This window comes from Homo sapiens, chromosome 16 (assembly GCF_000001405.40).
Source record: "Homo sapiens chromosome 16, GRCh38.p14 Primary Assembly".
Taxonomy (NCBI): Eukaryota; Metazoa; Chordata; class Mammalia; order Primates; family Hominidae; genus Homo; species Homo sapiens.
The window spans coordinates 68,803,316-68,817,148 of record NC_000016.10 but is presented as its reverse complement, the minus strand read 5'-3'; the positions used below and the strand labels follow the sequence as shown (position 1 = coordinate 68,817,148).

The 13,833-nt window shown below is 46.0% G+C and overlaps 1 protein-coding gene across 4 annotated transcripts in view; it reads right to left on the bottom strand.

Moving 5' to 3' along the window:
• CDH1 (cadherin 1) overlaps positions 1 to 13,833 on the bottom strand; it is a 98,246-nt gene that overhangs the window by 18,389 nt on the left and 66,024 nt on the right. For 2 of the 4 annotated variants that reach the window (NM_004360.5, NM_001317186.2), the window contains exons 4-10: positions 8,582 to 8,725; positions 8,301 to 8,456; positions 6,808 to 6,952; positions 5,290 to 5,465; positions 4,886 to 5,014; positions 3,654 to 3,836; positions 1,390 to 1,634 (exon numbers count right to left, since the gene is read on the bottom strand). In NM_004360.5, the coding sequence (NP_004351.1) occupies positions 1,390 to 1,634; positions 3,654 to 3,836; positions 4,886 to 5,014; positions 5,290 to 5,465; positions 6,808 to 6,952; positions 8,301 to 8,456; positions 8,582 to 8,725 (1,178 nt within the window). Of the gene's footprint in view, positions 1 to 1,389; positions 1,635 to 3,586; positions 3,837 to 4,885; positions 5,015 to 5,289; positions 5,466 to 6,807; positions 6,953 to 8,300; positions 8,457 to 8,581; positions 8,726 to 13,833 lie in introns of all 4 variants that reach the window. The other 2 variants (NM_001317185.2, NM_001317184.2) reach the window with 2 other exon arrangements.

Sequence of the window (13,833 nt, the reverse complement as noted above, 5' to 3'; positions counted from 1 at the left end):
GAAATCAAAGGAGGAAAGGGCTCTAAGAAACTGTGGGCTTGGCCTCACTTCTTTGGAAGTGCAAAGCAATGAATTACATCAAGTGGTCATTGTTCCAGGCGTAAGGGCCTCTGGAAACAGACACTAAAGACCTGGTCCCTGAATCTGCCCCAGGAGATGCTTTGAACTATCTATTTCACTACTGCAAGCTTTCAACCCAGCCTGGAAACTGTACAATCCAGGGTTTCATCACTGAACCTAATCCTACATTATTGTCTTTGACTTTTCATCATTCTTTTAAACTTCGATTAAAACCCATCTTGCCAGGCCTTACAGTTTGGAGCATGTAGAAATATCTCTAGATTATGAGGAGTCCATTGGCTACACATAGAAAATGAGAGTTTTTTTGTTTTTTGTTTTTGAGATGGAGTCTCACTCTGTCACCCAGGCTGGAGTGCAGTGACTCGATCTCAGCTCACTGCAACCTCAGCTTTTTGGGTTCAAGTGATTCTCGTGCCTCAGCCTCCCGAGTAGCTGGGATTACAGGTGTGTACCACCATGCCCAGCTAATTTCTTGTGTTTTTAGTGGAGGCAGGGGTTTCACCATGTTGGCCAGACTGGTCTTCAACACCTGGCCTCAAAGTGATCCACCTGCCTAGGCCTCCCTAAGTTTTGGGATTACAGGCATGAGCTGCTATGCCCAACCCAAAATGAGAGTATTTTAAAGCAAGTGTTGTAGTTGGTTGGTTGGCATGTGGGTTCTCAGTTCTCAGCATCTGTGTGATTTACATTATAGAGGTACCTTCAAGTTTGAAAGGAGAAATACTGATAGTAAGCTACTTAGAACACAATACTATGGGCTGGGTGCGGTGGCTCACGCCTGTAATCCCAGCACTTTAGGAGGCAGGCAGATCACTTGAGGTCAGAAGTTCGAGACCAGCCTGGCCAATGTGGTGAAGCCTTGTCTCTACTAAAAATACAAAAATTAGCCGGGCGTGGTGGCAGGCACCTGTAATCCTGGCTACATGGAAGGCTGAGGCATGAAAATTGCTTGAACCCAAGAGACAGAGGCTGCAGTAGGCAGAGATCACGCCACTGCACGCTAGCCTGGGCGACAAAGTGAGACTCCAAACTCAAAAAAACACAATAGTATGTATGCAAAGTAAAATTGCATTTCTACCATACTACAAGAGCTCAAAGAGAGGCAGCACATCAGACCAAGAACGGCTGTCTGTGAAGGGAAGGGAACAGGTGAAAGGAGCACAGATAAAGGGAATAAAAAATAAATTAAGAGAATGGTCTTGTACAGACAAATGACAAAATGCCATGAAGTACATATTATTGATTTACATATAAAATGATATAAAATAACCAGTTGCTGCAAGTCAGTTGAAAAATCCTCACACTTACGTTATTTTCTGTTCCATAAATGTGTCTGGCTCCTGGGCAGTGTAGGATGTGATTTCCTGGCCCACGCCAAAGTCCTCGGACACTTCCACTCTCTTTTCAGGAGGCACAAAGATGGGGGCTTCATTCACATCCAGCACATCCACGGTGACGGTGGCTGTGGAGGTGGTGAGAGAGACCTCAAAAGGTACCACATTCGTCACTGCTACGTGTAGAATGTACTGCTGCTTGGCCTCAAAATCCAAGCCCTAGAGAGCAGAAACAATGAAGTTAAAAACAAAACGAAACATTTTGTGTTAGTAAAAATAAAATTAAATCCTTAACTGTTGCTTTTGGTAATATATTAGGTTGGTGCAAAAGTAACTGTGGTTTCTGCCATGACTTTCAATGGCAGAAACCACAATTACTTACCATGGCTTCTCAAATCTGCTCACCTACTCAAGAGGAAGGCAAAGCTGGGGCTATTCTAGGGATCCAGTCACTTCAACAAGCAATTCACTCAAATTCTTAGTTTTCAAGTTTCTTTCCTTATTTTATTTTTTTCTGAGACAGAATTTTTGCTCTTGTCACCCAGGCTGGAATGCAATGGCTCACTGCAACCTCCACCTCCTGGGTTCAAGCAATTCTCCTGCCTCAGCCTCCCTAGTAGCTGGGATTACAGGAGCCCGCCACCACACCTGGCTAATTTTTTGTATTTTTAGTAGAGACGACGTTTCACCATGTTGGCCAGGCTGGTCTCGAACTCCTGACCTCAGGTGATCCACCCGCCTTGGCCTCCCAAAGTGTTGGGATTACAGACATCAGCAACTGCACCCGGCCATCTTTTTTTTTTTTTTTTTTTAAGAGATGGAGTCTCATTCTATTGCCCAGGTTGGAGTACAGTGGCATGATCATAGCTGAGTGCAGCTTCAACCCCCTGGGCTCAAGTGATTCTCCCACCTCAGCCTCCCAAGTAGTTGGGCCCACCGCCATACACTACTGCGCTTGGCTAGTTTTCAAGTTTCTAGGACATTTTTCAAAAACAACCATATCTGCCCCACTTCTAAAATAAACCAGCACAAGAGCAGAGACCAGTAAATCATTTTCTCTGTCACCGCAAAATGGAAAGAGCTGAGGGAAGGAGAATGTTTCTGGGAAAGAGCCTATTAAAGCAGATAGTACTTCTTTTTCAATTTCAGGATCCTGTGTAACAGCTTCTTGATTTCTTTTTTTTTTCAGACAGAGTCTCACTCTGTTGCCCAGGCCAGGGTGCAGTAGCACGATCTTGGCTCACTACAACCTCTGTCTTCCAGGCTCAAGCGATTCTCCTGCTTCAGCCTCCCAAGCAGCAGGGATTACAAGTGTGCACCACCACGCCCAGTTAATTTTTGTATTTTTGGTAGAGACAGGTTTTCACCATGTTGGCCAGGCTGGTCCCAAACTCCCGACCTCAGGTGATCTGCCCGCCTCGGCCTCCCAAAGTGCTGGGATTGCAGGCATGAGCCACCATGAGCCACCAAGAAGCCTTAGCTTCTTGATTTCCTTTTTTTGAGACGAAGTCTCACTCTGTTGCCGGGCTGGAGTGCAGTGGCACGATCCTGGCTCACTGCAACCTCCCTCTCCTAGGTTCAAGCGATTCTCCTGCCTCAGCCTCCCTAGTAGCTGGGACTATAGGTGCACACCACCATGCCCAGCTAATTTTTGTATTTTTAGTAGAGATGGGGTTTCACCATGTTGGTCAGGATGATCTCGATCTCTTGACCTTGTGATCTGCCCGCCTTGGCCTCCCAAAGTGCTATGATTACAGGCGTGAGCCACCACGCCCGGCCTCCTTTTCCCCGCCCACCCCTGGAGACTGAGTCTTGCTCTGTCACCCAGAGCTGGAGTGCAATGGCACGATCTTGGCTCACTGCAACCTCCACCTCCCAGGTTCAAGCAATTCTCCTGCCTCAGCCTCCCTAGTAGCTGAGATTACAGGCACGTGCCACCATGCCTGGCTAATTTTTGTATTTTTAGCAGAGACTCAAACTCCTGACCTCGTGATCTGCCTGCCTCAGCGTCCCTAAGTGCTGGGATTACAGGCGTGAGCCACCACACACAGCACAGTTTCTTGATTTCTTACATGAGCAGGAAGAGCCACTGCAAATCCCACATGGTCCACTACAATCTGGGAAAGTCACCCTGTCCCCCTGCCAAAGCGAATCTACTTCTAAGAAGATACCAGGGGACAAGGGTATGAACAGCTGTGAGGATGCCAGTTTCTGCATCTTGCCAGGTACCATACAAACCTTTGCTGTTTTCAAAATGCCATCGTTGTTCACTGGATTTGTGGTGACGACAAATTGTCCACCATCATCATTCAATATGGTGTATACAGCCTCCCACGCTGGGGTATTGGGGGCATCAGCATCAGTCACTTTCAGTGTGGTGATTACGACGTTAGCCTCGTTCTCAGGCACCTGACCCTTGTACTGCAGAGCAAAGAGATGTGTCATTTACAAAGTACCAAGACTGCTAGCAGAGCTGAGTCTCAGGGGGCTAAAGGATTCCTCTTTTTTTGTTGTTCTTTTGAGATAAGATCTCACTGTCACCAGGCTGGAGTGTATTTGAGCGATCATGGCTCACTGTAGCCTCAACCTCCTGGGCTCAAGCAATCCTCCCACCTCAGCCTCCAGAGTAGCTGGGACCACAGGCATGCACCACCACACCTGGCTAACTGAAAGCAAGCTTCAAGGAGAAGATGTGACAAGGAGAGGCCAGGCAATGGGCGCACTGGGGTGCAATGGTACAATCTCGGCTCACTGCAGCCTCCGCCTCCTGGGTTCAAGCAACTCTCATGCCTCAGATGCCCGAGTAGCTGGGATTACAAGCATGCACCACCACGCCCAGCTAATTTTTGTATTTTTAGTGGAGATGGAGTTTCGCCACGTTGGCCAGGCTGGTCTCAAACTCCATCCTCAAGGGATCCACCAGCCTTGGCCTCTCAACTTGCTAGATTACAGGTGTGAGCCACCACGCCTGGCCATTATACAGGATGATTTAAACTTACCCTACTTGGTTCTCAATACCTTCTCCTTGAATGCATGTAATATCCTTGGCATACAATAATTCTCATAAGATGTCTTCCTGGCTATACCAGAAACACCATGAGAATGGAATCTTTGTGTGTGATGGTCTCTCCAGTGTCTAACACAGTGCCTAATATAAACTTAGAAAATATTTGTTCAATAAAGAAATGAAACCAGGTAATATTTGCTATAAAAATGTACCATGAGACTATGAAATCAGTAGGTGCTTTTTGCAACTTCACAATCTTGCACCAATTGGCCCCAGGCCAAGGGTGGAAAAAAGATACTAAAAGACAACTGCCATCTCAAGATGCTTGCTTTTAAGTTTAAAGTTAACATTCTCTAGTCTGGAGAGAGTTTTCAAAGACTTCGCCCATGAGCAGTGGTGACACTTAGTTCATGAACAACAAAAGACCTTTCTTTGGAAACCCTCTAAGGAGTTATAGAATTACCGTGGTGGGATTGAAGATCGGAGGATTATCGTTGGTGTCAGTGACTGTGATCACAGCTGTTGCTGTTGTGCTTAACCCCTCACCTTGAAGGTCAGCAGCTTGAACCACCAGGGTATACGTAGGGAAACTCTGCAGAGAGATCGACACAACCAAGTCAGGACCAGGAACACTAGCCACCTTTGGCCTAGCCCAGCCCAACACATGGAACCAGAATATTTAACCATGTGCTTCATGCCAGCCTGCCTGTCTTCTAGGCACGGAACCTCTGGGCACAAGCTTAGATGCAAAGCTTAGACCATCACTGTATTAACTGACAACTGGCCTAGCAGGATTTTGCTTTGTCCACGGGATTGAGCTAATACACATTTGTCCTCCACACCCTCTGGATCCTCCTGACCCCTGACCTCTCGGTCCAGCCCAGTGGTGACCACACTGATGACTCCTGTGTTCCTGTTAATGGTGAACATATTTTTGTCAGGGAGCTCAGGATCTTGGCTGAGGATGGTGTAAGCGATGGCGGCATTGTAGGTGTTCACATCATCGTCCGCGTCTGTGGCTGTGACCTCCATCACAGAGGTTCCTGGAAGAGTTCAAGGAGATGAAGGTTTAGACAAGCTGCACTTTGGGACTGGGTCAATACTGCTTAATCCAATTCTGCCCTGAGGGATAAAGGAGGGGACATGGGGGTGGTACCGTGTCAGAGTTCCCTAATTCCTAGAATTCTTACCAAAGTGCTAGGGGAGAAAGAAAGCTCAAACTATCAACTTATTATCCAGGTATAAATACACAAATGGTAATAAAGAAAAGAAAGGGAATGATTACCACAAAAGTCAGGGTGTGGTTATCTTTTTTTTTTTTTTTTTTTTTGAGACGGAGTTTTGCTCCTGTTGCCCAGGCTGGAATGCAATGGCGTGATTCGGCTCACCACAATCTCTGTCTCCCGGGTTCAAGCAATTCTCCTGCTTCAGCCTCCCAAGTATCTGGAATTATAGGCATGCGTCGCCACGCCCAGCTAATTTTCTATTTTTAGTAGAGACAGGGTTTCTCCATGTTGGTCAGGCTGGTCTCAAACTCCTGACCTCAAGTGATTTGCCCACCTTGGCCTCCCAAAGTGCTGGGGTTACAGGTGTGAACCACCACACCCAGCCTAGGGTGTGGTTATCTTTATGGAGGAGAGAAAAGAATGTGACCAAGGGGGATTGTTTAGGGCTTTAAGGTACTGGTAAAGATCTGTTCCTTAATTAGGAAGGTTGTTCTTAGCCAGGTATAGTAGCTCATGCCTATAATCTTAGCAGCTTGTGGGGCTGAGGTGGGAGGATTGCTTGGGCCCGGGAGTTTGAAAGTAGCCTGGACAACAAAGCAAGACCCTGTCTCTGAAAAAAAAATTTTTTTTTTTTTGAGACGGAGTCTGGATCTGTCACCCAGGCTGGAGTGCAGTGGCGTGATCTCAGCTTACTGCAACCCCCGCCTCCCGGGTTCAAGCAATTCTCCTGCCTCAGCCTCCCAAGTAGCTGGGATTACAGGCCCCCGCCACCACGACCGGCTAATTTTTTTGTATTTTTAATAGAGACGAGGTTTCACCATGTTGGTCAGGCTGGTCTTGAACTCCTGAGCACAGGTGACCCATCCACCTTGGCCTCCCAAAGTGCTGGGATTACAGGCATGAGCCACCATGCCCAGCCTAAAAAAAAAAAAAATTAATAATAAAAAAGGGAAGATTGTTCTTAAACTCTCCCTATTTTATATGTTTCCACAGGTAGACTGTTACACACATGCATATAACACAACAATGGCTTGCCAAGAAGTTCTGTCCGTAGGAAGGATCAGCTTTAGTTACACAACCTTTGGGCTTGGACAACACTTTGGGGTCCAAAGAACCTAAGAGTCTTTCTGAGTATTCAGATTCTCATTAGTGGATATACCTGGAAGAGCACCTTCCATGACAGACCCCTTAAAGACCTCCTGGGTGAATTCGGGCTTGTTGTCATTCTGATCGGTTACCGTGATCAAAATCTCCATTGGATCCTCAACTGCATTCCCGTTGGATGACACAGCGTGAGAGAAGAGCTGAAAGAACCAAGTGAGGGTGACTTGAGCTCTGATGAGGAAGAAAACATGGGAGAAGGGGCCCAGCCAGAGCAGAGTGCGCCCCCCTGGCTGCCACACCTTCCTAGGCTCTGAGACCCCCAGTGGGTGACTTTTCTCACACATGTGCTGCTGCTGCTTCAGTGAGATTATAACAAGGTAAGAGCCATGGGCTGGAGAACACCCCCCACGGCTCAGACCTCCCATTTCCCACACGAGGACCAGGGCATCAGGCCTAGAGATGAAGATGCGGGCCTGAAAAACTCTTATTCCATGCCGGGTGAAACTTGCTCTGGTCCTTTTAGTCTAGCATTTCCCCCAGATATTTCTGAATTTGGCATCAATATATGACTTCCTGGCCAGGCATAGTGGTTCATGTAATCTCAGCACTTTGGGAGGCCGAGGTGGGCAGATTGCTTGAGCTCAAGATTTCAAGACCAGCCTGGGCAACATAGCAAGATCTTGTTTCTACAAAAAATACAAAAATTAACTGGGTGTGGTGGCCTGCGCCTTTAGTCTCAGCTACTCAGGAAGATGGGGTGGGAGTGTCGCTTGGGCCCAGAAGGTCCAGGCTGCAGTGAGCTAAGATTGTACCACTGCATTCCAGCTTGAGTGACACAGGTAGACTCGGTCTCAAAAAAACAAAAATCCAAAACAAAAACAAATGACCTCTTGTAGGCCGGGTGCAGTGGCTCCCTCCTGTAATCCCAGCACTTTGGGAGGCCAAGTAGGGTGAATCGCCTGAGGTCAGGAGTTTGAGACCACTCTGGCCAACATGGTAAAACCTCATCTCTAATAAAAACGCAAAAAATTAGCTGGGCATGATGGCAGCTGCCTATAATCCAGCTACTCGGGAGGTTGAAGCAGGAGAATCACTTGAACCCGGGAAGTGGAGGTTGTGGTTCCAGCCTGGGTGACAGAGTGAAACCCTATCTCAAAAAAAAAAAAAAAAGACCTCTTGGTTTTCCTAAGCTCTTGCTGCTGCCAAGCCCAAGAAATGGGTTTTGCTCCCTTATATCATCACTGTCCTGTTCCTTTAGGTCAGGGACTTCCAGCCCCAAGAACAGGTTGACATCTTGGGTCTAAATTTGTCCTGGTTGTATGAGGATGCATGCGGATTCTCCTTCCTTTCTTCCTGACAAGGAGAAAAATTAACAACCCCAAACTGTCCCACGTTCTCCCATCACTTCTCCTTAGCAACAGGTCAAGAGGTGTCAAGTTAAGCTCCTCATGTGTTCAGAGCCTCTGATCTGCGGATCCAGCATGGGTTGACCAAAAAATCCTGGGTGGATGTTACCCCGGTGTCAACAAGCTTCTAAGAGATACTTACAGTGTATGTGGCAATGCGTTCTCTATCCAGAGGCTCTGTCACCTTCAGCCATCCTGTTTCTCTTTCAATAATAAAGACACCAACAGGGGGTGTGTCAGCTCCTTGGCCAGTGATGCTGTAGAAAACCTTGCCTTCTTTGTCTTTGTTGGATTTGATCTGAAGACAAAATGAAAGAAAAAGAATTAGTAAAGAAGGATCCCAACACTGGGTCTTTTCCCTTTCTCTCCTTGGTACTTCTCTGCCAAATCCCTCCCAGAGAAACAGAGAACTTCTTTCTCTACCTGAACCAGGTTTTTAGGAAATGGGCCTTTTTCATTTTCTGGGCAGCTGATGGGAGGAATAACCCAGTCTCTCTTCTGTCTTCTGAGGCCAGGAGAGGAGTTGGGAAATGTGAGCAATTCTGCTTGGATTCCAGAAACGGAGGCCTAAAAGGAAAGAAGATGAGGAACAAGATAAGACAATTCAAGACGGATACTTCAGGTCTAACAGTCCAACCTAGCCAGACAGCGTCCCCAGCCTTCTGTGGGCAGTGTACAGTTTGAATTTAATGACACATTCTCTTATCAATGACAAATTATATATATCCACCAAAATGACCAATCAAAACAAAAACCAATGAGACCCTTTGCTATATCGTAAAGACTGCATTCTCTTTTTATCCTTCTTAGTGTCCAGAGCTCAAATAATCATCATGCATACACAAGTATTGGTTTCAGGGTTTGATATTATAATTTACAAGCTGTTTCAAGCCTACATAATCTCATTTTTATTTTTTTGAGACAAGATCTGGCTCTATCACTGAGGCTGGGGTACAGCGGCAAGATCTTGTCTCACTGGAACCTCTGCCTCCCAGGCTCAAGCCATCCCTCCCATCTCAGCCTCCTGAGTAGCTGGGACTACAGGTGTGCACCACCATGGCTGACTAATTTTTGTATTTTTAGTAGACGTAGGGCTTTGCCATGTTACCCAGGCTGGTCTCGAACTTGTAAGCTTAAGCAATGTGGCCTCCCAAAATGCTGGGATTACAGGCATGAGCCACCACACCCAGCCCATAATATAATTTTTAACAGCAACATTATACTCTGATGATTTAATATCAGAGCTTACTCAACAACTGAATATTTGGGTTTTCGATTTCTTTTCTTTTCTTTTTTTAAATAGAGACAGGGTCTTGCTCTGTCACCCAGGCTGGAGTGCAGTGAAGTGATCAAAGCTCACTGCAGCCTTGAACTCCTGAGCTCAGGCAAGCCTCTGACCTCAGCCTACCAAGTAGCTGGAACTACAGGCATCCACCACCATGCACCACCATGTGCACCTAATTTTTTAAATTTTTTAAATTTTTTTAGAGGCAGGGTCTTGCCATCTTGCCCAGACTGGTCTCGAACTCCTGGGCTCAAGCGATTCTCCTGCTTTGGCTTCCCAATTTGCTGGGATTACAGGTGTGAGTCACCGCACCCAGCCTCTTTTATATTTTTCTTGGGGACACAGGTCCTCAACGTGGAGTTATCCCAAAACAAGTAGATTTTGAGAACTTGTACTAAGAACTACTTTGTGATCAATATAAATCTCTTCATCTCACTGTATCATTATGTCTATATGGTTTCCATTTGTTCTAACAGAAGCTGTTGGGATGGAAGCCAAAAACACCCTTTGAGACTTGTATTGAACAGTTTTCATATGCAATAAAGATAACTTTATGCACATGCAGGGAAATAAGAGAGTTGAAAATGGAAGGAAAATATTTGCCAAATTGTTTAAGTGTTTTAAGGTGATTACTGGTAACACAGTAAAGTTTCCAGGGGAAAATTCCATCTCTCACCCTCCACATAAAAACTCACAGTCACTGATCACTGCTTGCCAAGTTTGAGTTCAGCTCTATTTTCTGGCTTTAAGATTGAAGATGCACCAGATACATGTGAGATATGACCAGGTATCATCACAGAGCCCTTCCCCAATGCTGCACACTGGCCACATGTGCACACATGCGCACACACCTATGCTCTCTGCCCTCTACATCCTGTGTTTGTCTCCTAGAGAGGCAGCCCAGCCTGCGCCAAGGGCAGGCTCTGGAGCTAGACTGCCTGGCTTTGAATCCTCATGACAGTACCTCCTTGCCCCAGGCAGATATTACTTAATTTCTCTGTATTACAGCTTCCTAATGTCTGAAATGGGGATAATATTAGAACCTATCTCATATAATTCTTGGAAGGATTAAATGAGATGCTGGTATTGCACATTTAAAGCACTGTGAATACTGCCTGAAACATAGTAAGTGCTCAATAAAGGTAATGATGGAGATGATGGTTGGACTGGTTGGAAAACACTGAGTTATGGTTTTATTGAGATTTGACCCCAGCACATGAACAAAATAAAAAACTGACCATCATCACTGTATCCTGGGCCAGGCGTGGTGGCTCACACCTGTAATCCCAGCACTTTGGGAGGCTAAGGCAGGCAGATCACTTGAGGTCAGGAGTTTGGGATCAGCTTGGCCAACGTGCCAAAACCCTGCCTCTACTAAAAATACAAAAATTAGCCGGGCATGGTGGCACACACGGGGTCCCAACTACTTGGGAGGCTGAGGCGTGAGAATTGCTTGAACCCGGGAGGCAGAGGTTGCAGTGAGCTGAGATCATGCCACTGCACTCCAGCCTGGATGACAGAGAGAGATTCTGTCTCAAAAATAAATAAATAAATAAATAAATAAATAAATAAATAAATAAATATACAAAAATTAGCCAGGCATGGTGGCATGTGCCTGTAATTCAAGCTACTCAGGAGGCTGAGGCAAGAAAATAGCTTGAATCTGGGAGGCAGAAGTTGTAGTGAGCCGAGATTGTGTCACTGCACTCCAACCTGGGAAACAGAGCGAGACTCTGTCTCAAAAACAAAAACAAAAACCAATCCCAGAAAAACCACTGTATCCTAAGCCTTAAAACAGCCACCTTGGCCAGGCCTGGTGGCTCATGCCTGTAATCCCAGCAGGCTTTTTCCTTTGGGAGGCTGAGGCGGGTGGATCACCTGAGGTGAGCTCAAGACCAGCCTGGCCAACATGGTGAAATCCTGTTTCTACTAATAATACAAAAATTAGCTGGGTGTGGTGGTGCACACCTGTAATCCCAGCTACTCAGAAGGCTGAGGCAGAAGAATTGCTTGAACCCAGGAGGTGGAGGTTGCAGTGAGCTGAGATTGTGCCATTGCACTCTAGCCTGGGTGACAAGAGTGAAACTGCATCTCAAAAAAGAAACAAAAACAAACAAACAAAACAACAACAAAAACTGGCCACCTTGCACAGCCATGGTGAGCACATGGGCACTGATGGATGAATGCAAACCCAGTTATCACAATGAAAGGAAAGGAACATGCATGCCTTGCTGACACCAGGACTGTGGAATATTTTCAGAGAATGAATAATGATGAACACTGTGCTGGCAAAACATCACACTAACATTTTCATGTGTTAAATGAAAGGGAGTCATGCCTGAAAACACTGCACGTGGAAGTGATCCCTCAGAAAAATAGGATACCAGGTGGGGCACGGTGGCTCACGCCTATAATCCCAGCACTTTGGGAGGCCAAGGCAGGTGGACTGCTTGAGGTCAGGAGTTCAAGACCAGCCTGGCCAACATGGTAAAACCCCATCTGTACTAAAAACACAAAAGGAAGGGAAATGGAAGAAGAAGAAAAGAAAAGTAAAAAGAAAAGAAAGGAAGGATGCCAGACTGAGAAAACTCACCCAAATAAGATGAAAGGACTAGAGACTAAGATCTATTCTTACACAAATTTAGAGATTTTGAGCCTGCGCAACAAAGTGAAACCCTATCTCTACAAAAAAAAAAAAAAAAAAAAAAATTAGCTGGGCATGGTGGTGCACCCTGTGGTCCCAGCTACATGGAAGATTGAGGCAGGAGGATTGCTTGAGCCTGGGAGGTCAAGGCTGCAGTGAGCTGTGTTCCCACCACTGCACTCCAGCCTGGGTGACAGAGCAAGACTCTGTCTCCAAAAAAAAAAAAAAAAAAAAAAAGATTTTGTTACCTGGATATGTTGTTTTTTAAAAAAGTTAAAAATTAATCAATATATAATGAAAGCGAGGTAAGACTGCCATCTAATTACAGTACCACCTGGTTCCAGAAGGATCCTTTGAACTATAGAGACAAACCAAGGTGAATCTCAAACCAGCTGAGGCATAATCTGCTACCTACCACCCAATATCCACTCTTTGTTTCTGATTAAAAACAAAATAAAAACCTATCTCTCCAATATATATCTCAATTTTGTAATTCTGGAATATACATTCCAGAAATGTATTCATATGAAAGACTACATTCCCTACACTGCATGTGCAGCTAGATGTGGTCATGAGGCTAAATTTTGGCCAGTGTTTCTCAAGTGTTGCTTGTGGAGAATTCCACAAAGGTTTCTTAAAAGGCAGATAGGGCCGGGCGCAGTGGCTCACACCTGTAATCCCAGCACTTTAGGAGGCCGAGGCAGGTGGATCACAAGGTCAGGAGATCGAGACCATCCTGGCTAACACGGTGAAACCCCGTCTCTACTAAAAATACAAAAAATAAGCCAGGCGTGGTGGCGGATGCCTGTAGTCTCAGCTACTCAGGAGGCTGAGGCAGGAGAATGGCATGAATCCGGGAGGTGGAGCTTGCAGTGAGCTGAGATCGCGCCACTGCACTCCAGCCTGGGTGACAGAGCGAGACTCCATCTCAAAAAAAAAAAAAAAAAAAAAAAAAAAAAGGCAGACAGATAACTAAGTAATGAATTTTTATGCTTCTCCTTTCTCCTTCTTATTGCTTAGAATAAAGACATGATTAAAAAAATAAAAAAAGACATGATGACTGGAGCTCCAGCCGCCATCTGGGATCACGAGGTCTCCTTGAGGATGAGGTCATGTGCTGAGGATGGCGGAGCAAAAAGGAAAGGGGGAACCTGGGCTCTTGATGACTATCAAGTCTCCATACTGGGCACAGCTTACCCTAGGGCTTCCTTAACTTGAGGAATAAACCACGACATAAACCACGACAATTGGAGATTTATATAACATGCACTTGAACCCAATCATGATACAGCAGACATGGAGGCAGAAACAAAGTTCAAGAGATGTGGAAGAAAAGTTGAAGACCCAAGCTCAAAACTGTCCCTGCAGCCGGGCTCAGTGGCTCAAACCTATAATCCCAGCACTTTGGGAGGCTGAGGTGGGCAGATCACTTGAGGTCAGGAGTTCGAGACCAGCCTGGCCAACATGATGAAACCCATCTCTACTAAAATCCAAAAATCAGCCAGGCATGGTGATGGGCTCCTGTATTCCCAGCTACTTGAGAGGCTGAGGCAGAAGAATTGTTTGAACCCAGGAGGCAGACGTTGCCGTGAGCCGAAATTGCACCACTGCCCTCCAGCCTGGGAGACAGAGCAAGAATCTGTCTCTAAAAAAATAAAACTGTCTCTGGATCATAAGAGGCTTCCACACACAGCTGCCTGGCAAGGACTCACTGTGCTGAGTTTTTTTCACATGAATGATGGGGAC